At 35.2% G+C, this 24,729-nt stretch overlaps 1 protein-coding gene across 22 annotated transcripts in view; it reads right to left on the bottom strand.

Moving 5' to 3' along the window:
* CNTN6 (contactin 6) overlaps positions 1–24,729 on the bottom strand; it is a 311,194-nt gene that overhangs the window by 241,807 nt on the left and 44,658 nt on the right. For 19 of the 22 annotated variants that reach the window (XM_011533590.3, NM_001349351.2, NM_001349354.2 and 16 more), the window contains one exon: positions 14,348–14,484. The exons of 2 other annotated variants lie outside the window; for them this stretch is intronic. In XM_011533590.3, the coding sequence (XP_011531892.1) occupies positions 14,348–14,402 (55 nt within the window). In that variant the 5' untranslated portion in view covers positions 14,403–14,484. Of the gene's footprint in view, positions 1–13,404; positions 13,978–14,347; positions 14,485–24,729 lie in introns of those variants that run through there. One more of the 22 variants, XM_011533591.4, reaches the window with a different exon arrangement.

Raw genomic sequence — 24,729 nt, 5'->3', positions numbered from 1 at the left:
TTTTTTTCCCCTCCCTTCTGAGCTGTACAACCCCAAATGTAGCACTTTTGTGTTTGATTATAAGTGCTTTCTGAAATTCCCATGTGCACAAATACAGGTAAAACAAAACAAAACAATACAAACAAGGTTCTTTGCCCATTTTGACATTAAAGAAATCATTATTGTTTCCAGGCTCAATATTAAGAACTGATTATAGAGCTGGTCAGAATATTTGGGAGGGTTTTGTTCCTTACTCAAATGTTGTTTTTAGTTCTGTGTGTACCCAATCTGTTCTATTGTGAGCTTCTGGCAAAGTGAGCAGACAGCACCTGTTGTTAGCTGCAAGGTTCGGTAAACCAAGTTTGATTTTTTATGAGGGAGGAAAGAAACTCTTCATCTGTTTTCTGGTAAACTATTAGGTATCTTCAGATTGAGATTTTTTTTTAACTGAGTCCAAATATGTTATCTTTGTTCTTCAATTTAGTACTAATTCTGTATGAAAAATAAAATATCAAAATCTAAATTAGTGCTAAAATAGACAAAACAATTACAATATCATTTAGTGTAATGTAACATGTATAGAAAATATATATCTACACACATATACATGTACAGAACATATATATGTTTGTGTGTGTGTGTGTGTGTGTGTGTGTGTGTGTATACATATATATATATATATTCCTAAGGGCACCATGGGGTCTTGGTACTTACTTCTCTACCTTGTTTTTTGTACCGAATAAATCTGCAAAACATGGCATACTTCCACTAATAAAAATGGCTAAAAAATAAAACATAGCTCAACAGAGCAGCATGCTAGCAGTTATTTAACAACCATGTCTCTGAAAAGAATGTGGATACATATATTTGTGTGCATATAAATGTATATATATGTATATACACATGTTTATTATCAAATTTACTAATGCAATGGATGTGATGTGTAGCCCACAATTAAAAATAATAAAATATATAATATCATAATTAATTACAAATTCCATAAGTCAATTGATTTTCATAGAAGGCTTTTGCTAAGTTTTATTGAATATTTATGTCTCTAGCTAAGCTTCAGTTGCAGTTCAACCATGACCTGACAATTGGAATTGTATCCCAATCTGCTGCTAACTTTATTCCCAGTAAGCATTTGCTATCATTATATATATATATATATCATATATATATAATCATATATCATTATATGCAATATAATCTTAGACTATTTCTCACTGTCATACAAATTATATCCATTACTGAAACTCTTTCAGCATCAACACTAAGTGAGGACCTGCTTTGTAGCTTTTGCCAGTTGCTGTGGTGTAAATACTACCCATGAGTGATTTCCAGATAATAACATGACATAATTTGGGAAGAAATGCACAGTAGTTTCCATGATATGATATTTCCACCATACAAATACAATAGATATGAACAACCTCAAGACCATAAGTAATAGGAAAATATTCTAAAATAATTTGGAAGTAATGAATTTTAAATATTTATGAAATTTTGAATATAATTATTTTAATTGGATGTCTATTTAATTTTTAATAATAGCTGTGTTTAAACGACTTGCTTACAAAATTCCTGAAACTAACACTCAGCTTTCATGAGCTGCTACGAGTCAGCTCCAGCACACCCTGGCTAAATATGTCGGTAATTTTCAACTAGAGATAAATAAAAATGAGAATTATGCAAATTTAAAAACACTACCACAAATTCTATGGAAGCCTAATGGGATATCAAATTAATTTTTCTTTTTTTTTTTTTTTACGTACATTTATGACTACATTGGTGATACTCAACCTCAGAAACAGCATACTAGAATCATTTGCTTAGCTTTTAAAAGCACTTAGGTCCTTTTAAAAACACCAAGGTCCATCATGAGTAGAATGGAAAGGCAGGCTGTAAAAGATTCATACAATGGAATAATGTACTACCCAGCAATGAGAGTAAGCAAACTTGCCATTATACACAACAACTTGGATGAATCTCACAAACCCGATATTGAATGAAACAAGCCAGAAATGAAAGAATACACACTAAATGACCATATAGGTAGTGTGTATATATATATATATATATATATACAGTAAAAGTAAATTGTGTGATGAGAAGTCAGATAATGGCTACCCTTCTGTGTCTCAGCTGTGATTGGAAAGGGCTTCTGGGATCCAGCCATGGTTGCATCTTGATTTGTGTGCTGCTTACATGGGTAGGTTGAATTTATGAAAATTCATTGAACTGACACAATTTATGCACATTATACTTACTGAGATATTTTGGATTTTAATAAAAATTAAAAACTGAATGATTGGCCGGGCGTGGTGGCTGATGTCTGTAATCCCAGCACTTTGGGAGGCTAAGGCAGATGGATCACGAGGTCAGGAGTTCAAGACCAGCCTGGCCAACATGATGAAACCTTGTCCCTACTAAAAATACAAAAATTAGCCAGGTGTGGTGGCGCATGCCTGTAATCCCATCTATTCAGGAGGCTGAGGCAGGAGAATTGCTTGAACCTGGGAGGCAGAAGTTGCAGTGAGCTGAGACCGCGCCACTGTACTCCAGCCTGGGGGACAGAGCAAGACTTTGTCTTGAGGGGGGGAAAAAGAAAAACAAACGAATGATTACATTGAACACAGATAAATTAACTCTAAATTTCTAAGTGGGATTGTAGTAACAGTATTTTTTAAATGTCCTCAAGTGATTCCAATGTGAAGTTAAGTTTGAGAACCAGATTATTTTTATATAGATTAATTGTTCTGTCAATTTATACTAGATAAATATATTAAGGTATTTATTTTTATAAGATAAAAAGAAATAAAATTAATGACAGTATATTTGCCAAAATAAAAAAAAATTCTATATATAATAGTCCCGCCTTATCCACAGTTTTACTTTCTGTGGTTTCAGTTTCCCCAGTTTCAGCTACCATGCTCAACCAAGGTCCAAAAATATTAAACGCTAAATTTTGGAAATAAACAAGTCATAAGTTTTAAATTGCATTCTGGGTAGTGTGATGAAATCTCCAGTCATCCCACACCATCCTGCTCCATTCCAGTCTGTCCCACCCAGAAAGGAAATCATCCCTTTGTCCAGTGCACCCCCGCTGTGTATGCTACCCACCTTTAATCACTTAGTAGCTGGCTCTGTTATCAGACTGAAGAAACATAATGCGTATAGGGCTTGGGACTGTTCATGGTTGTAGGCATCCACTGGGAGGATTGGCACATATCCTCCATGAATAAGCCCCCACTATGGTAATTAGGCGGTAATTTGAACACAATCCAGTTCCTTAGTATGACTTACAAGGCCCTGGGTGATTTCCCCCTTTAAATTGGTTTCAGATTTTAAAGGTTAACTGTTTCATAAATTTGAGTCTGTTACTTGGGAGTCTTAAGCAAAAGGATCACTTGAGGCCAGGAGTTTAAGAATTAGCAAGACCTTGTCTATATATATATATATGTGTGTGTGTGTGTGTATATATATATATGTGTGTGTGTATATATATATATGTGTGTGTATATATATGTGTATATATATGTGTGTATATATGTGTATATATATGTGTGTATATATATGTATGTATATATATGTGTGTGTATATATATGTGTGTGTATATATATGTGTGTATATATATACACATATATACACACATATATATGTGTGTATATATATGTATATATATATAAAATTAGCCAGGCATTGTGGTATGAGCCTGTAGTTTCAGCTAGTCAGGAGGTGGAGGTGGGAAGATAGTTCAAGCTCACAAATTTGAGGGTGCAGTGAGCTATGATCTTGCCACTGCACTCCAGCCTGAGTGACAGAGGAAAATCCTGCCCGCTGCCAAAAAAAATTGAGTCTGTGTCAAGAAACAATCTTTAAATGGGATCATATCAAGTTTAAAAGCTTCTATATAGAAAAGGAAACAATCAATGAAGTGAAGAGACAACCAACAGAATGGAAGGAAGTATTTGTAAACTACCCATCTGACAAGGGACTAATAACCAGAATATATAAGGAGCTCAAACAACTCCATAGGGAAAAATCTAATAATGCGATTAAAAAATGGGCAAATGATTTGAATAGCTATTTCTCAAAAGAAGACATAAAAATAGCAAACAGGCATATGAAAAAGTGCTCAATGTCACTGATCATCAGAGAAATGTGAATCAAAACTACAATGAGATATCATGTCACCCCAGTTGAAATGGCTTATATCCAAAAGACTGGCAATAACAAATGCTGGTAAGGATGTGAAGTAAAGGGAACCATCATACACCATTGGTGAGAATGTAAATTAGTACAACCACTATCAACAACAGTTTTGGGCTTCCTCTAAAACTAAAACTAGAGTTACCATATGATCCAGTAACTAAGACTAAAACTAGGGCCCCCATATGATCCAGCAATCCCACTGGTGGGCATATACCCAAAATAAAGGAAATCAATATATCGAAGATATATCTGCATGCCCATGTTTGTTGCAGCACTATTCACAATAGCCAAAATTTGGAAACAATCTAAGTATCCATCAACAGATAAATTGATAAAGAAAATGTGGTGCGTATGCAAAATGGAGTACTATTCAGTCATAAAAAAGAACCAGATTCTGCCATTTGAAACAACATGGATGGAACTGGAGGTCATTAAGCTAAGTCAGGCACAGAAAGACAAACTTCACATGTTCTCACTTACTTATGGGATGTAAAAATGAAAACAATTGAACTCATGGAGATAGAGAGTAGAAGGATGGTTACTAGAGGCTAGGAAGGAAACTGGGACGGCGGGAGGGGGACAGGTGGGGATGGTTAATGAGTACAAAATAAAAGTTAGAAAAAATAAAAGCTAGTATTTGATAGCACAACAGGGTGACTCTAGTCAATAATAACTTAATTGCACATTTGAAAATAACAGGGCCAGGCGTGGTGGCTTATATCTGTAATCCCAGCACTTTGGGAGACCAAGGCGGGCAGATCACCTGAGGTCAGGAGTTCAAGATCAGGCTAGCTAACGTGGTGAAGCCCCGTCTCTACTAAATATACAAAATTAGCCAGGTGTGGTGGCACATGCCTGTAATCCTAGCTACTTGGAAGGCTGAGGCAGGAGAAACGCTTGAACCTGGGAGGCAGAGGTTGCAGTGAGCCAGAATCGTGCCACCGCACTCCAGCCTGGGCAACAGAGACAATAAGTACATAAATAAATAAATAAATTAAATAAATAAATAAATAAATAAATAAAAGAGTATAATTAGATTGTTTGTGACACAAAGGATAAATGCTTAAGGGACTGGATACCCCAGTTTCCCTATTGCGATTATGCATTGCATGCCTATATCAAAATATCTCATGTACCCCATAAATATATACACCTACTATGTACACAGAAAAATTAAAATTAAAAATAAAAAAAAAAAGAGGCAAGGTGCAGTGACTCATGCCTGTAATCCCAGCACTTTGGGAGGCCAAGGTAGGAGGATTGCTTGGGCCAAGAAGTCAAGACCAGCCTGAGCAACACAGTGAGAGGCAGTCTCTACAAAAAATAAAAAATTAGCCAGGCACGATGGTGCATGCTTATAGTCCCAGCTACTCAGGAGGCTGAGGTAGGAGGATTGTTTAAGCCTAGGAGGTCAAGCCAGCAGTAAGTGAGCTTTGATAGCGCCATTGCACTTCAGCCTTGGCAACAGAGCGAGACTGGAAAAAAAGAAAGAAAAAGAAAGAAGAAGGAAGGAAGGAAGGAAGGGAGGGAGGGAAAGGAAGGAAGGAAGGAAGGGAAAGAGCAAGAGCAAGAAAGAAAGAAAGAGAAAGAAAGAAAGAAAAGAAAAAGAAAGAAAGAAAGAAAGTCTGAGACTCAAATATCGTTTCTTCCTTTGCCCACTATCAAGATCAGATGAAACACTATTCATAAAGTGCTTTATAAACTCGAATGCACTAGTTATGAGGTATAACGAGTCAAATATTTGAGTTGAGTTTTTATTTTCCCTTTAAGACTAAGAATTCTACAGTTACAAATTCAACAAGTGTAAATACTATATATTTCTCAGAATGAGCATATATTTGAGAGAAATGACCTGATTCTAAGCAAAGAGTGTGGAAATGACAAAATTCTTCTTCACAGAATCAAGGTTTCAGGAGAAAATGGAAGAATATGTTACTGGGAGGATTAATCAGAATGAACATAGCATTCGAATAAGTGTGTTAAAGATTGGATTTGCCTTTAATAAATGGAAATGGATCTGAAGAAGAACAATGCAGAATATCACAATGATATAAGGAGAGACTTGGGGATTTTTAAAAAGTGCAGAGATCTTACAAGTAGCACAGTCTGACTTGAATAAAGGATACATGAAGGAGAGTAAGGGAAGGCATGGCTCATGACACAGGTAGAATTGAATTAATTGGAGAACTTCCAATATTTGTTGAAGGAAATTGAATTTGAATGCTTGATTAGACAGTTTGAACTTTATAGGAGATGGGATCTGTAAAGGTCTTGACATAGAGTAATGACAAAATCAGCCGTGCTTTATGAAGTTTTCTCTGCATAGGCATCTGTGTCAATAAGCTAAGTCTTGGAAAGGACACAGAGGATGCCTCAAAATAGAGAGAAACTGTAGGAGGCTGGTACAAATGTCTTGGGGGGAGAGGCAATGGTGGATCAACTTGACTGGTAATGACAGAACTAAAAAGGAATAAAAAAATACATCTTGAGATAAAATACAGCCCACAAGTTTAAATATTTAAATTATTTGTGACACAAAGTCAACGTGTATTTGCTACCCAGTAATACTGAAACAGCACTGGCTGTATGTTAAATGTTCTACTCCCTGAACAAACCACACTGAAGTTACCCCTGCCTAGGTCAAGTGTGTCTAAGCAAACTGTATTCGTTTCAAAAATTAGGAATAGCTTTCTACTTTCAGTATACAGCATAGTTTTTAAAAATTAAAAAAAAAATCCTAAGCCCAAAAGATATATTGTGACTAAAACATTTATGCCTAAAAGTAGATTCTAACAAGAACCAGTTCAATTGCTAAAGGTGTTTGGGAATATTGGTTTATCCCTAAGCAGTCTTGGGGTCTTATTTTGAGAGGTCAATAACGTGCTCATTTATTTTAAATATTTATTGAGTGCGTACCATGCGTCAGGCACTGTACTAGGCATCAGTGATGCAGCCACTTATACGACTCACAATATTTTAACTACATAAAACTTATATTCCTCTAGGTATAGGCAGAAAGTGCACTGGTAAACAATGTATAAATAAGTTAATTCCAGATAGCGACGAGCTCATTGAAAACAGTAAAAAAGGTTGACAAGAGTGACTAGGACCAATAGTGGGATAAGCTACTACTTACCCAGACAAGGTCCTAAGGGAACGTCAGACTATGGAGGTGACTGATTGGAGATGGGTATAATGGAAAGAGCCAGTCATAGAAAGATGTGAAGAGTGTTTCACACGACTGAACAGCACATGCAAAGACCCTAAGCAGAGAACAATCTTGGTATTTTGATGAGCATAAGAAAAAAATGTGACTCTAATGCAATGAGCAAAGGGAAGTTAAGTAAAAGTAGAGATGAAAGAGGTAGGCAGAAGAAGCCAGATTGTTTCGTGACTTGATGGAATGGCAAGGAGTTTGATTTTAAGCATCTGGAGTTGTTTAAATCGGGGGAAGAAAAATGTTATCAATCCTGGGCCGGGCGCGGTGGCTCACGCCTGTAATCCCAGCACTTAGGGAGGCTGAGGCGGGCGGAACACCAGAGGTCGGGAGTTCGAGACCAGTCTGACCAACATGGAGAAACCCCGTCTCTACTAAAAATACAAAGTTAGCCAGGTGTGGTGGTGCATGCCCGTAATCCCAGCTACTTGGGAGGCTGAGGCAGGAGAATTGCTTGAACCTGGGAGGCAGAGGTTGCAGTGAGCCAAGATTGTGCCACTGCACTGTAGCCTGGGCAACAAGAGCAAAACTCCACCTCAAAAAAAAAAAAGAAAGAAAAGAAAAGAAAAATATTATGAATCCTTCCATGCTATTTTCAAGTCATAGCATAGCTATTTTTGAGTACCCTTAAAGTGAAAATATGACCTGGTGTTATTACTTCCATAGCATACTTGACCCTCTCCTTCAAAGACTTCATGGTGAAAACACAATTACTCACATTCCATTCAACTAAGAGCCTACATTTCCTATAGTATGCCAGTCTGCATACCAATCATTTCCCCCCAGTGCTGACAAAACATAATTTTTTTTCCTACATTCTTATCAGTCCTAACAATTTCATTTAAGGTTTAAGAATCAATTACTTTGGAAGAAGGTTTGATAATCATATAACCACCTTTATCAGTAAGCATTGCATGAAAATGGTGTTTTCAGCATTTCTAAATTGGACCATTTCTATTAGAAATTGCGAAGATGTCACTTGGCTTAAAAATACAGCCTGGTGTTCCATTCTTAAAGGTGCTATTATGCTAACAATAAATCCAAACAAGACCGTAGGCAGAGTGTGGGTTGTGACGTACTCAATATTCATTCACACTCTGACCCAAAGGAATATCCAGTATGTGCTTCTGGGATCCTTGAGCAAAGCAGGTTTATTACACCTGCCAATTTTCATGGATTTGCTGTGTGATACATCGTTGTCTTTGAAGAAATCTTGGTCATAGTGAATATTTTCATTCTTCTGGTTTTCTCTCTCAGGTAGTTCGTTTGCTCTGCCTCTCAATTCAATAAAAGGCTATGTTTGAAATAGAGTGAAATTCAAGCAATCATAAATACTTTCCAATGTCCCTTTTTCCTAGGTGCCTGACTGTGAGTATTTAGAAAGAGTGACAGTTTCTCCCAGATTCACTTTCAGGCTGTGTTATTTATAAAGAAGTAAGCTATGTAAAAATACTGACAAAATAGATTTTTTCTTTCTTTATGGGTATCAGCCCTAAAAACAACTTTATTTTAGTGTTAAAAGTCAACTACTTTGGGAGAAGTTTTGAAAATAATATAACCACATTTGTCAGCAAACATTACATAAAAATGATGGCTGCAAAGACTTATTATAATTTTGAGTCTCAGTTTATTCTTCAAGAGTAATTAATACAGTAGGAGAAACCAGCTCATTAGGCCCTGTTGGCATAACACAATAATTAGAATCCCTCAAGGAGGGCTTTGATTCTAGTCTGCCAATACATGTGACTAGCTCTATGTTGACTTTCTTGAATTATTGCACTTCTTCATGATAAAACCAAGTCTCATACTGAATAACTGGTACTTCTTCAGGACTAACCAAATAGGTATTCAGTCCGTAATTTCATAAAATACATATAAAAGTCCTTAACCCATGGCAAAACAAACACAAATGACAAAAAAGTGGTTATATTTATGAACCAAGTGAATGTTTTATAAACTACCATTTAAATAGTAGTACTTAGTTAAAATAAGAATGTTAAAAGAGAATACATTAGGCAGAAATTCTTAAGATGATATGAATATTTAGTATCAGGAAAATCACACTCCTTGTAACTACTATTCTGCTATTGTTTATTATGTTTGAGTTATAATAGCAGCCATTGACACTCACTGACACTCTTCTTAAGGACTGCAGATCTTCTAATAGTCCGCAGATAAAATTGTGCTATCTCTAACCCTGGTTAACTCATAAGAACAGATATAGCACACGATTCAACCTATTATCATCAAGTCTTTATTAAACATTTTTAATAATTATCAAATTTTTAAAGATTGGAACTAAATTTTGAAATCTGTCTAATATTTTTCAAATTGTACATAAAAGCCATGGTAAGGTGAAAGATTTAATAAAATAGAATCATCTTGTGCATTCTGAGAATTTTTCACTGTGGGAAAATGTGACAGTTAATCACATCAGTTAATCTTGGGTTTCTTAGGCAGGTGACATTCTAGGGTCAACAAAATTTGACCCTACGTGGTTTTTCAGCTTCTACCCATTACTGACATTGTTCAGTATTTATTAAAAAATAAAATATTTCTGGACCGGTTGTGATGTCTCATGCCTGTAATCCTAGCACTTTGGGAGGCTGAGGTGGGTGGATTGCCTGAGCTCAGGAGTTTGAGACCAGCCTGGGCAACATGGTGAAACCCTGTCTCTACTAAAATACAAAAAATTAGCCCAGCATGGTGGTGCGTGCCTGTAATCTGAGCTACTCAAGAGGCTGAGGCAGGAGAATTGTATGAACCCAGGAGGTGGAGGTTGCAGTGAGCTGATATCACGCCACTGCACTCCAGCCTGGGCAACACAGGGAGACGCCATCTCAAAAAACAAACAAACAAACAAACAAACAAATATATAAATAAATAAAATATTTCCTCATGAAAACAATCTGTGCATTGTCTACAAAGACAAAAAGTAGACTTACAGTTATAAGTTTTTCTCCGTTTATTAATTTGGTTATCCAAATTATCTCATTAACATATTTTTTCTACTTTAAGAAATGTAGATTTTTCAGTAACTCAGGGCTGAGAATAAACGTTCTTAGTCTATATTAAACCTCTTGATTTTTTTTTCCTTCCAGGAATTATTGTGACTTCTTAAAATTCTTTTATTTGCTCTTTTCCTCATTTTCATTAGTGAATAAGCATTTATCCCAGCAGAGTTCTGTTACTAACTCAACCTCAAAACCAAATTTTTAAAGCTGTATTAGTCAAGAACTTTTTTGTCACAAGGGGCAGAATCTCAGTTTAAGTGGACTTACTTGCTGGTTTCCCTGTTTAGACTGTCAGGTTGAAGAGGGCAGGGACTATGGACCTATTGTTGAAGGTCAACATCAAGCTCCTTGCCTGGCACATCATAGTTTCTAATATATTTCTATATTTGTTGAAGTGAATGAAGCTGCTTTCTTTTATTCATTTAGCAAATATTTAGAATCTGTGTATTAGGGGATGGAGAATCAGTAAAGCATAAACCAGATGAAATTTCCTGCCCTCACAGAGTTTCAAATACGGCATGATTTAAAACTTTTAAAACGTTATTACAATTCTATTTCTAGAAACTTATGACTGTAACTTTAATACACACTGGCAACCATAAAGGAATGAACCAGACTAACAGTTCCCCAGAGGATATTATATGACTAAATTTATTCTACTGTGATAACATAAATAGAACAAACAACATTAACTTTTGGTAATTAATTAATTCATTCATTTAACAAATATTTACTGAATCCCTACCAAGTACCAGCAAGATATAGTCCCTGCCATCTGGAAGCTTAAAGCATAGTGAGGAAGAAACTTCAGTTTCTTATGACTTCTATAAAAGTTACCAAAAATGTTATGGCTTAAAACAGTACATATTTATTTTCTTAGAGTCCTGGAGGTCAGAAGTCCAAAATGGGATTCACGGGGCTGAAAAAAGGTGCAGGCAGAGCCATGCTCAGTCCACAGATAGAGGGGAGAATCTGTCCCCCTGCCTTTCCCAGCATCTAGAGCTTCCTTCATCACACCCCATGGCTCATGATCCCTTCCTCAGTCCTGAAGTCTAGCAGTGCAGCATCTTCACGTCTCCCTCTGCTCTGCTGCCTCATTGCCTTCCCCTCTGTCAGGTCTAACTCTGCCTCCTTCTTACAATCTGGATAGTCCAGGGCTATTTTAATCTCCCCATCTGAAGATCTTTAACTTAATCACATCTGCAAAATCCACTTTACTGTATCAAGTAGCACTCACAGGTTCCAGGTATTAGGACCTAGATATCTTTTGGGGCCATTATTTAGCCTGTCATGCATATCAATGAAACAGTTAAAAAGTATATAATTATTAACTGTATTTCCTAATTAAATGGGCCTTCATTTTCTTCTAATATTTTAAAAATACTAAAATAGAACAATTAAACTTTTAAGTACTCAAAACTTTAAAAGTGTCCCAGAATCAATCATGTATGACTGTATGGATTAAGTTTCATTGTAAAGGCCTATGAGGCCATGACTATAGTAAAAGCACTAGAAGTTGTAGTTAATTTTTAGAAAATGAGGGGAGAGGTTGTCAAAAAATTTTAAGTTTTAATTTAGAGTCTAGGGAGATTTAAAGTATCAACCTGTTAGAAAAATTATAATAATTCAAATAGCAAGGAAAAAGTAAGTAATTGTGAAAGATTTGCTGGCATTTCAGAATGAATAAAAAGTATGTTTTGGAAAAACAAGATATTATCACTATGCATAGTCACAGAACTCTATCATCAGACAATCTAATTTTCTAAACTAAAATAGTATCTGCGAATAGGGAGACACACCATGAAACGTCTAACAAAACAAACAGATTTAAAGCAGTGTTGTCTTGTGTATGTCATTATCAACATCCTTACCTCTGGAGCAATGTTTAGCTTAGATTATCTCATTTAAGTAGCTATGGCTACTTAATAGATCCAATCTGTTCTTTCACAATGAAATTGTGCACCAAGGGTATATGATGATTTCTCCCATCAGAATAAAGCAACAGGACATGTTGAATCACATCCAGTTTGTATAAATAAAAGTTAATATAAGAGCTGGAGTATTTCTCAGATTTGATACGTGTTCTGAGACTAATAATTCATTTTAATTTAACACAAAAGGTCTTTTAGAGATCCTATGCTAATTCAATATACATATTTAAAGGGCAAAATGTTAATGTTGAATTTTGACAGGAAGATGAAACTTAAGGGTAGGAATATAATTCTTATTCACACATATATGATTTGGGGGCACCTTGATGAGTTTTCTCTGTCTTTTCTTAATCTATTACCAAAAAAAGAATACACTATTATTTAACCCCAAATCTTTGTTACAGAGACTTAGAGGTGTCACCAATCAAAATACTGTAATCACTTTGAGTAAATATAACTATGGCACTTCTAGCTGCTAGCTTTGCTAGTGGTAAAATTGCTTTTATTTGTATGGTTTTCTGATTCTCCTGTTTGATTTCTGCATATTTTAGCATTCTCATTCATTTTAAGATCAGCATATCTATTTCTCAGGATTGCTATAAAATATATGTCCTTTACAATTACTGTGTTTCTGCCTTTTAAATTATGTTTATTCCTGCATGTCTGTCAATGTATTACTGCTTTGTTATAAGTACGTGAAACTTCACTAGTACCTATCAACACATAGTCGGGGGGAAGAAGCATGGTATGGTAGAAGAGAGGCTTCTTTGATAATCATATGATCTAATCAATGTCCATGCTCTGTAACAACTCATGTAGGTAAGCTCAACAATTAATCTTGACAATTAAGCTCAGTAATTATGAACTCTATGATTGTAACAGACTATGGTTGGTTGTTTACAAAAACAGCCACGATTATTGCCTTTATTATTTCTATGGCCTTTTTATGGTATAATTTTGCAGCTTTTCTATCAAGAGATGTAGTGTCATTCCACATCTATTAAAGCTGAACTTGTCTTGTGACTTATAATTGTCAAAATAACTCACAGAAATGGCAATGTAGCAGTTCCAAGCGTTGGCATCAAGAAATGCTGCATTCTTCTGTCTTTTGTTTTCTTGGAACCCTGAGCAGCCACCATGTAAAAGAACCCAGACTCACAGAGGGTAACATTTGGACCACAGCCATGGCAGCACAGTTGTCTCAGTTACGAATGTTCTAGACTAGTCATGTCTCAGATGACTCAGCTCATCGAAGTTGCAGTGCACCCAGGCAAAAACCAAAAGAAGACCCATTTGAGCCCATCGTAAGTTGTTAACCCACAGATTTGTCAACTAAATACATGATTATTTGATATTTTATTACACTCACATTTGGCGTGGCTTATTACAAAGCAAAAGTTAACTGATACACAGATATTAATATGTTCAAGTTGAATAAAAGAACATGTTCTTGTCTATTCTTTTAAAATAATTAAAAAGAAAATATATCTAAGGTTATTTCTAGTTCTGAGGTAACATTCTATATCATCTTTTCTTCTAAATGAATATAGCTTTGATTTTTTTGCCATATCAATTTCTAAACATGAGAGAAATATGTATTTTAATTTTAATTTTTTAAAGACTTCACTATAATGAAAATAAGAATAATTATTCACTGTTTATTGGTGATAAAAATATTTAATTACATTCTTTTATTAAAATGTCATAGTATATTATATAATTAAATATTACATAATTACATTGTATAAAAATGTCATATTTGCCAATTTATAAATGTAATAATGTTAGTTTCCATTTAAAACTGGCATTTGATACATTTTTAAGGATTAAACTTTCCCTGTCTGAGTCATAGAAGTTACCTTCAAAACATTATCACTTAGTCATTCAAATAACATACAAATTGTGCATTTTGAAAATTGCTTCACCCATAGAAAGAAATACAATGCCAATATATTTATCAATCAAAACTTATAATAATAGAACACTTTACCTGCAGAAGAGTTTATGAGTGGCAGCAGAATTACCAGTTTCCATAGCAACCTCATTTCCACTTTCTAAGGTCAAAAATTTCTCCCATACAATCAGGTGGAACAAAACAGTCTATCTTCCAGTCAGTATCTCAAGAGTCTGAAAAAGACAAAATTGTCATGAAATGAAAAACGTACAAACACGAATATTTTAATAAGCATATTTTTGTTGCATATTAATTCAATTTAATATTAATATTATTATCCAAAATAAAGCAACCTAAATGGATGCTTTCTACACATACATTTGTTCTGCGAGTTCCAGTAATGTCAGCTCATATTTTCTTAATTTCAATTCACACCTCAAATATTAGAAAACATTATTTGTCCTAATATCACAAGAGAAAAATTAATATTGTGCTGCAAAATTTCTGCAAGAAATCAATTTCTAGCAGTGTTATCTTTCAGGTACGAGACTTGCTTTTCCTAAGGGGGTTGCATCATAATTTTCTCTAATTTATTTTGACATTTAAGCTATGCAGTGATAAATGAAATCAAGATAAAATGTTAGTTTGGCCTTTAGCCCAAAAGAGAAATCTAATAAGAGGTTCATAAAAACTCCTAAACTCATAAAAATTTAGAATAAGCTCAGAATAAACTTATCTATGTCCATGTTCTGTAACAACTCATGTAGGTAAGCTCAACAATTAATCTTGACAATTAAGCTCAGTTATTATGAACTGTATGATTGTAACAGACTATGGTTGATTGTTTACAAAAACAGCCACTATTATTGCCTTTATTATTTCTATGGCCTTTTTATGGTATAATTTTGCAGCTTTTCTATCAAGAGATGTAGTAGGTTACATTTGATAAAACTATTATATATCAAGTGATAAGATCCTTTGGAAACTTTAACATAGTGGAAACATATTTTCTTGCAACCTTAAATATTTATTGGAAGTGTATGGAGTTTAAGTGTGATGATAATAAATAATAAAATTTTTATTTCTTGATGTATTTTTAAATTGTAAAAATCATTTCTTTCTGTCATGAGTTACTTCATCTTAAACCAAAAACATTGATTATACTTAACGTTTAAATAAAATTTAAGTTAAATGCTTTCCAAATTTAATCAAAGGATAAAAATCACAGGAAAAATAAACAATATTCAGGGGTCAACATAGGTATTGAGTCAATGTTTTTCTCAAATGTTCTCATATCTGACATCATCTTTCCATTCCTTTTGATACCACAGCCTTTAATGCCTTACATAAATTAGATCATATGTTATATCTATTCATTCATTAATTATATTTTCATAAGCATTTATTTATTTGTTTGTTTCTTTATATAATCACATTCTTTGCAAGACAATGGGCACTATGGTGTTAATGGTGAGCCTAAAATCCTTCATTTCTACCTTTGAGGCACTGTTCTCTTGTGAGACATTTAACAAAAACAGAGAAACAAAACAAAAAAAACCTTACGCACACAGGAAAATATTTGTGTAGTAAATATGATAATATTAAAGAAAAATGTAATATGTATGAGATTTATAGGGTGGAATTCAGTTAGCATTTTTTAGCTGAGGCTTGAAATATGAGTAGCTCTTTGCCAGGCAAAGAGTGTGTGTACATGGGATGAAAACAGCAGAGCTGTAGGGATTACAATAGGTATGAAGGAAGGATGAGACTAGCTTCCTAAACAAAAGAGAGACAGTGGGCTCAGGTCCTATAGCAAGCCTTGAGTTGCCTGTTCAAAGATATGAGAAAGTCCGGTTTGATATTCAGAAGAACTGCGGCATGAGACAAGGTTGGAGAAAGGGAAAGAGGCTGAAATATACAAGACATTTAGGTCATGTTAATGCATATGAATGCTGTACTTTCAGATCATAATTGAGAATGTTGAGCAGAACAGAATCAAAATTTATGTTATATCTCTGGCTACCGTGGAGAATGAAAGAGATGGAGTAAAAACTGGAATTATACAGAGTAATTAAAGGCTACTTTTGTAGTACAAGAAAGGAATAATGAAGGTTTTAAATAGAGTAGTGGCTTTGAAGATTAAAAAAAAATTGGATCTCTGAATAGTCTTCCTGCCTTAAATCTCTTGTCCTTTCTACTCATTTAAATATTACCACCAAAATTTTCTTCCTAAAACAAAGATTGGTCCAATTATGCCAGTTTATGCAATGGAGACTTTAATCACTTTCAATTTCACAAACATCCAAAGTCTTTGGAATGATATTCAAGACTATGCACAATAGGTTTCTAATCTTCCTTTTCCAAGGAGACTACTACTAAATATTTCCAATCTAGTGACAAAGATCTACTTCCTGTGCACGTGCATTATGTATTATCTCTATATAGATGTCATTTAATTTGCATAGAATTCCTCCTTAGGGTCTGTATCTCCCTAAAAACCTATACAATGGTAGCATGGCCATAAATCTTTGTTTTCACTGGACAGTTTCCATGTATCCAATTGTCATGGCAGAATTATCAATAGACTCTTTTTCTCAAAAAAGCCTCAGCTTATAACGTAAATTACATGGTACACTTATTTAACGGATATTCATTATTTTTTTACCCAATAATTCTGTCTCCTTCTTGTGATAAAAGGTCTGTGACTTTCTTTTGAGGAACCATCTCCCTATGTACCATCAGACAATACAGCTGGGGAGTTATTTGCCTCCACCTTCTTGCTCCAGGGACAAGCATATGACCAGGTCATTATCAATCAGTTATCTATTTCTTTGGCTATAATATTTTGTAAAAAATTCAGCATATTGCTTAATTGAAACCAATGGCAGTCGAAGCCAGGACCTCTGTCAATATTATCAGAAAAAGTGTATAATCTCTCCATTAAGTCATCAAGAGATAATAAACCCGTTGATCTGGTATATCTCACAACTGTTATCTTGACGAAAGTTTGCAGCTACAGCTAAAAACTTTCAGTTCCCCTTCATGGACAGTTTGCTAAGACTCAACCCCAAATATATCCCTTATTAGGCTTTAATAATCCTGGGTTATAATACACATAGACCCAAATACCACAGATCTCCAAATCTCTAACACCCAAAAACAGCCCCTACTTCCTTGGGCTAGAAAATTATTTAAAATACCCAATCCTCCGGAGGCCTGCAAAGCCTAGCCATCTCTATGCCATTTTCCATTCGCAAGCTACCTCCAACAGTCCCCGCTTGCTGTAGTTCTGTTCCTGGGTACAATTTCCTGTGTGCCCTTTGCCTCATTTGGAGCTGTAAGAAGCAGAGTTCTGCTTTTTCTGTATCTGAGTGTTACTGTGATTCATTCCATCATCCAAAGAACCTAGAATCATACCCAGTACCGTAGAATCATGAAACATCTTACCTGAGCCAAGAAGACAAATTTTTGCCTAGTCCTGTTTGTATTTTGTTTTTGTCTCCTTCTACCTAAGTAATCCGACAAGCCCCAAGCCCCTTCATTCTTTTTTTATTTTTTATTTTTTATTATTATTATTTTTTAATGAGATGGAGTTTTGCTCTTGTTGTCCAGGCTGGAGTACAATGGCACGATCTTGGCTCACTCCAACCTCTGCCTTTTGGGATCAAGTGATTCTCCTGCCTCAGCCTCCCGAGTAGCTGGGCTTACAGGCACACTCCACTACACCTGGCTAATTTTGTATTTTTAGTAAAGACAGGGTTTCACCATGTTGGCCAGGGTGGTGTTGAACTCCTGATGTCCAGTGATCCGTCCATCTTGGCCTCCCAAAGTGCTGGGGTTACAGGTGTGAGCCACAGTGCCCAGTCCCCTGTATCGTTTATCTCAAATTTATATGAAGTTTCTCTTAAAGATTCTAGAGCACACTGACTCAATGTATTTCTCTTAAGGCTTGCACTTACCAAAGACTCCAAAAGCCAAGGGTTTTGCATTTTACCTTGACGATAAACACCATGTGTAACACTTACTCGTAATACTCGGCGTGGTGTCTAATGCAGAGCTCATAGCTATTCAGCAAGCATGAGCTAGGTTTGCATTTGACAGCTGAACAACCTGGTGGTACAGAGAAAAAGGCTACATTGGGAATCTAGAGATTTTGCTTCTACTATTGTCTCTTTCTCTTAACCAGCTGAGTAACATTGAGTGATTCATGTACAATCACATTGATTGTCAGTTTCCTCCTTTGAAAATTGAAGGGTTTGACCTAGAAGTCACCTTCAAGTTTCTTCCAGCTCTAATATTCTAAGATGGTTTGATTCCATCCAGTGTATAATTTCATAGCAAATGTTGCCCTTTATCATCTGATTGCTTATCAGCATACTATAATGAGGCCAAAGCCCGAAAGATGTTTTATTTGGCATTCCTCTATACTGCTAGCCTAAATAGCTAATATTTATGCATGGGTTGCCATTTGTAAAAGTTTCATTTGTGAAAGTTTAAATTGCCTGAGGAAGGAGAATACTCTGGCTCAATGACAACAATGTAGTTAAGAAAAGTGTAGTTATTTACTCACAGCAGAATCGAGTAGAAATATTCAGTGAGTAAAATTTCTGCTAGTCACTGACATGCAAAATAGCCACAGGAATTAATTCTAGGTTCCTAGAATCCTACAGGTCACTTGAGGCAAAATGGTGTAATAAAGGAAAACCAGTATATAAATCTAACTTAAAGAAACTTCTAGAACCTAAAAAGAGTCTCAAAAATGTATCACCAGCATTTTGTTTTAGATGAGGTCTTTTAAATGATAATTTGGCCCAGAGCAGTGAGTATCTTGGTTCATAAACTAACGTGTATTTACTTTTTCTTGCATGAAATTGCTCAGTACAAAAGTAATAATTTCAAACACTTCAAGGAAAGAGTATGTACAGGTCTATAATCACTTTTCTTGCAATTAAAAAGAATCTCTGAAAGTTGAAAATTACATGAAAGCTTGGTAGCAAAATTTATTTGGTGGCAGAGAACTGTCCCCAGGCAATACACACCAAGCAATGTGTGGTTGCTTAGATCTTTTTACCCAGCTTATTATAAATATTGATGTATTTTTCTGCTGAAACAGAGATGTTGGTTGATGATAAGTGTATTGTTCATTGGGCATATACATATATATATATATATATATATATATATATATATACACACACACACACAAATTTATATGTATCTTTAATGTACATATCTGTCTATAATATGTATATGCATGCAAATAAAAATACATATAAATTTGTACACACAAATTTATAAATATATAGAAATACATACGAATTCGTACCCCATTGCCTTTCTAAAGGCTAAAACAAGGGTCAGGAAACCATAGCCTGCTGACCAAATCTGGCTCTTTGCCTTTTTTTGGTAAATAAAATTTCACTGCAACCCAACATGCCTGTTTATTGATGTATTGTCTATGGCTGTTTTAGTGCTACAAAGGCAGGGCTGAATAGTTGCTCCAGAGACCATATGGCTTGCAAAGCTGAAAATATTTATTATCTGACCCTTTCTGGCTTTCGAGCTTCTGGAATTTTCTTTTGCTGATCTCTCGTTTAATGAATTCTAAACTCTAAAATATATTTGGCTGTGAAGATTTCTGTTAAAGGATTATCCAACTGTATTTTTCTAATTCAGTGTATACGTACTCAACAAGAATACCATCTATGTAGTAGAAAAAGATGCAGTCCTGTATTTTGAAGTAGCTGCAGACTGTGAGCCCTGCCTTTATACGACCTCTTCTCACCATGTATCACTGACTTGCTTCTGATCCCAGAAGGCAGATGAAAGAACTCAGCAATTATTGCTGTGACAGTGAGGTTATACACAGTGCTAATTATGCTTAACCCAAACAACATTAAGAGTTTCTTTGTTTGGTTCAGAATAATCATGTTTTTTTTTTTTTTTTAGGAATGGAAAATTGTCACTCACTCCATCTCCTGGCTCTAAAACTATTCGTCAGTCTATAAATGTGCACAATTGCCAGTAAACCAGGAATAAATGTGTAAGTCAAATAATGGCTGGACCTCAGGCATCAGGAAAATTCTGGAAGGTGGCTGCCATGTTAAACCTTGGTTTGTCCGGCAGGCTTGAGAGACAATGAGAGTTATCCTAAACAGAGATGGTACCTCTGTTATTCTCTTATCTATCTTTTACAGAGGAGTTTTCCAACTTTATTTTTTCCAGTGAGAACTAGGGTCAATTTCTTGAATAAAAAGGCAGAGTAGATGTGCATGCATAGCTCTGTAATAAGCTTCTGAAAGGTGCTCATGAAGGGTTGGTACTTCCCAACCTAACTTAGAAGCTACAGAGAATGTCTAAAATAATTTAAAACATCTTACTCTATGGTGGGGGAAAATAGAAAATTATTCTTGTCCAATTCTGTCAACATTGTGCTTTTTAATTTCTATAAATACATCTAGGTTACATGGACTTGGACGCTGGAGAATTATGTGCATTAATACATACTGTTTATGGAAATCCTCAGGTCAATTACAAATTATACCTTTTTCTTACCTCTTTTGCAGTACATGAAATGATTTTCTCACATTGGTAGCAGGAAAAGTAGAAACTACTACTAAAAGGCTTTGGTTATTGCTGTTCAAGTACAGGGCAGTAGAATGGTCAAGGAGGAATATTACTTTGAAATATTGGCCAACTTCTCTCTCTAGTTGTCTTACTGGTGTGGATTTAGTTTATCAGGACATCATTGTTGCAAGTGCGTGACTCCTCACGGGCTTCGTTCTCCCCTTATTTACAGCAACATTGCTTTGATACTAAAGGATTTCATAGTGAAGATCAAGATCCATTTTCAGTTGCCATGTTCATCATCAGAACAAATGTGTGCAGCACTAATTGCCCTTTTGTTTTTAGTTGACCAGTTAATTACACCAGATAAATTAAAAATCTCAAATTCACTTTGTTCAGGTAGCTCCACAGTTTGATTTCAGTGTGATAAACATCCATGGCCAGAAGGAAGAGAAGATTTTTAATAATTTTTATAACAGATTTCCAACTTTAGCATTCACGGAGTTATTTACTTTTAAGCTAAATCAATAATAAATTAAAAAGTGAACTATTTGTGATCTGAGAAAAATATAGTACAGACTAGGAAACCCCACCACCATTAAGTTAGGCCAAGTAGCAAGATAAATTGTGCCATCAAATTCTTTGTTTTCAGAATATAATGCTATCACTTATGATAATTGTTATGCCAAGCTCTCAAAATAGGCAGCCATAATAGATGATAGATTAGTAGAAAGACGTAACACAGCGTGTTTAATGTGATCATAGAAGAAGCAGTACTGCTTTTCCTAGAGGAGCCATGATTACATGTTAAGTTGTTAACAGCATGAAATAAATGCAAATATGTTTGTTATGGAAATAGTCAGAATCATTTCTACAATTTTTTTTTAATCAGAGAAACCAAGCTGTAGAACTTAACTCAGTCATCAAGAGAGTATCTCTCATATGCCTTTTGCTTGAGGCCATGAAGTCTTGCTGAAAGATACTAGTGTGAAGAAATTAGTTTTAAGACTGCTGAAAAATCATACTTTCAGTGAATTTCACAATTGAAAGAAACTATATAGATAATAGAAGTCAGCTTTCTATTTTCATAGCTGAGGAAACTGAGGCCTAGAGGAGATAAGTAGTTGCCATTATTTACATATATAGGTGATAGTTAACTAAATAAAATTTAGTCCATGACCTAGAACGAGACCTGGGACTTGAAGGCAGATCCCTGATTGAGGGTCCCCCCCTACTATGTGACCTCTTGATCTGGGGCACTGCACACATCACCAAAGCATAGCTCCAGCCTCTGTGTGCACCTGTTTTTCTATCTGCAATATGCAGGTAATTATATCTTATAGAAATGCTCTTTGTATTTATATAAATCAGAATACAAGAATGTGGATGAGTGACGCTGCTATAGCTTTGAGGATTTGTAGTGTTGACTTTCCGTTCCTAAAAAGGTGACAAGAAATACTTATTCATTGGACAAATCTAAGTTTGCTAGACTTTCCACAGTCAGGGAGAATACAACTTGGCATAGTTGTAATACTTTCTCAGAAGGAGAAATAAGTGGGTGATATTGTTAATATAAACTAGAAATGGCCTGAAGAAATACATATTTCTATATTTGAGTCCTTGAGGACCAACAGTAACCTGACTTAATAGGTAGACAAGATTGAAAATCTAACTTAGGAACATGTGCCTGAAACAATAGCTGAGTCTTGGCCAATCCCAGCAGCCATGTTTCAACCAGTCATACGCTGCTGAGTGTTCAAACTGTGCTCAAGTAAGGCAAATGCCAATCTGTAACCAATCCAGCTGCTTCTGTACCTCGCTTTCTATTTCTGTAAGTCACTTCCCTTTTATTTTCTACAAATTTGTTCTGATGATGAGGTATCCCTGGAGTCTCTCCAAATCTGCTGTGATTCTGGGGTTTGCCCCAGAATCAGGGGTTGCCTGATTGATGAATTGTTCATTGTTCAATTAAACTCCTTTCAATTTAATTCAGCTGAAGTTTTTTTTTAAAACAATATTTTTAGGGCTTCGTGACCTGGGTTAGGTGATTTTAAGGTTGTTCTTGCAAGATGAGGAGCTGATTAAATGTGGGTAGAGATTAGGGCATAATAGTTTTAATTTGATGAGTACAAGAAGGTCAGGCTCTTGATACAGATGATGATGTTGGTCTTGAAAAGTAAGTTTTGTCCTCTAGAAGCAAGAATTTCCTGAAGCAAGTAGCTAAATTATTTTTGCTTTCAGTGCGGTTTAGTACAGGGATAGGAATTTATGCTAGTTTCAATTCTCAGCAATGAATTCAATAACAGAATGCAGGGACTACTTACTAATGACTAAAGCAGAGATTGGGAAATCTTTTCTGTAAAAGACCATAAAGGACTAGATAGCAAATACTTCCAGCCTGGTCACTGTTGCCATTACTAAACTGTACTATTAGAATGCAAAACTAGTCTTACTCAAGACATAAACAAATGGAAGTGGCAGTTTTTTTAATAAAAACTTTATTTGCAAAAAACAGGTGAAGAATAATTAATTCATGGCCATAGTTTTCCCACCCCTGGGCTAAAGGTTGGCCTAGAGAGAAGTTTCTAGTGGTAAGTTCTCAGCCCAATCCTACTGAATATTTGATTAACCTCAGAATCACAGAAAGCTAGAAGAGATAGTGAGTATATCAGATAGCAGAAATCGGAAATATCTGGAATGAAAAGAATGAAAAGGTAGATGCATACATACAAATAGATATAACATATAATTATATAGATATATAATACATATATGTAAGTAAAATGGCAAGCAGCAGATTTTTTCAGTGTTTTTGCTTCTTCATATATTCCAAATTTTTTAAAAAACTAAACAAAGCAATAATATAGCAAGGTCCTATTAAAACAGAAATGTGTGCAAAGCACTTTCTAAAATTTTGTTTTTGGGAAAATATAAATAGATTTATCTGTGAGCAATATTAGAGTGGTAGAGGAAAAAACCCTTTTTTAATGTATTTAAGAAAAAGTGGTCACACTACAGAAAATGTTTCTTTCTCTTCTGTTTTGCTATAATTGTCAAATTAAAGAAAAAACAAAACAGATCAGTATCGGCCAAAACAGTAAATAAATAAAGATGGTATTTAATAAGAATATATACTAAGTAATGTATTTGAGTTTTAAAAATGACCTGCTTAAATATATTGGGTAGGAGTAGAGTGAGTAAAAGTGGCTTTCCTTCAATTCAAGTTTGGAAAAAAAAAAAGCAGAGAATAAAATTCTATAGTGTGAAGTTGGACCAATATTCAATGTTTGCTTTTCTTTTTACATAGTTGCTAAAAATCTGGCATGACTTAGGTTGCATTAATAAAAGCATGGTGGCCAAAACCAGGGAGGTGCTAGTTCCATCCTGACCTGCACTTGTGTAACTACACAGAGGGATTGTGTTCTCTTCCGAGCATCACGGTTTAAGAGGAACTTTGACAAATTGAAATACTCTCCTGGGGAGCAGTGCAAGGATGATGAAGTGGCTGAAAGCCATGACTTATGAGGGTCAGTGAAAAGAAATGAGTATGTTTAGCCTGGGGAAGAGAGGATTTAGCAGGCAGAGGAGAGTCATCTTCAAATATTTGAAGGGCTGTCTTGTGGAAGAAAGATTAAACTTATTATTTGTGTCTCAGGAGAGCAAAACTGGGACCAAATAGTGGACATTTCAGGGCAGCAAATTTCAGCTTAATATCAGCCCTGAGCATTTTAACAAGTAGAATTGTTTAGCCAGTGGTTAAGTGCACTGGCTTTGAAACCTAAACAGTCTGGAATTCCATTCTTAAAATCTACCAGACACTTAATAGCTTTGTGACTTTAGAAGAAGTAAATTAGTTTTCTGAGCCTGGATGACATGATAATTACAATGGAAAAAGTAGCATCTACCTCATG

Source organism: Homo sapiens, chromosome 3, assembly GCF_000001405.40.
Source record: "Homo sapiens chromosome 3, GRCh38.p14 Primary Assembly".
Taxonomy (NCBI): Eukaryota; Metazoa; Chordata; class Mammalia; order Primates; family Hominidae; genus Homo; species Homo sapiens.
The sequence above is the reverse complement of the archived record's forward strand: the minus strand, read 5'-3'. Positions and strand labels throughout refer to the sequence as shown.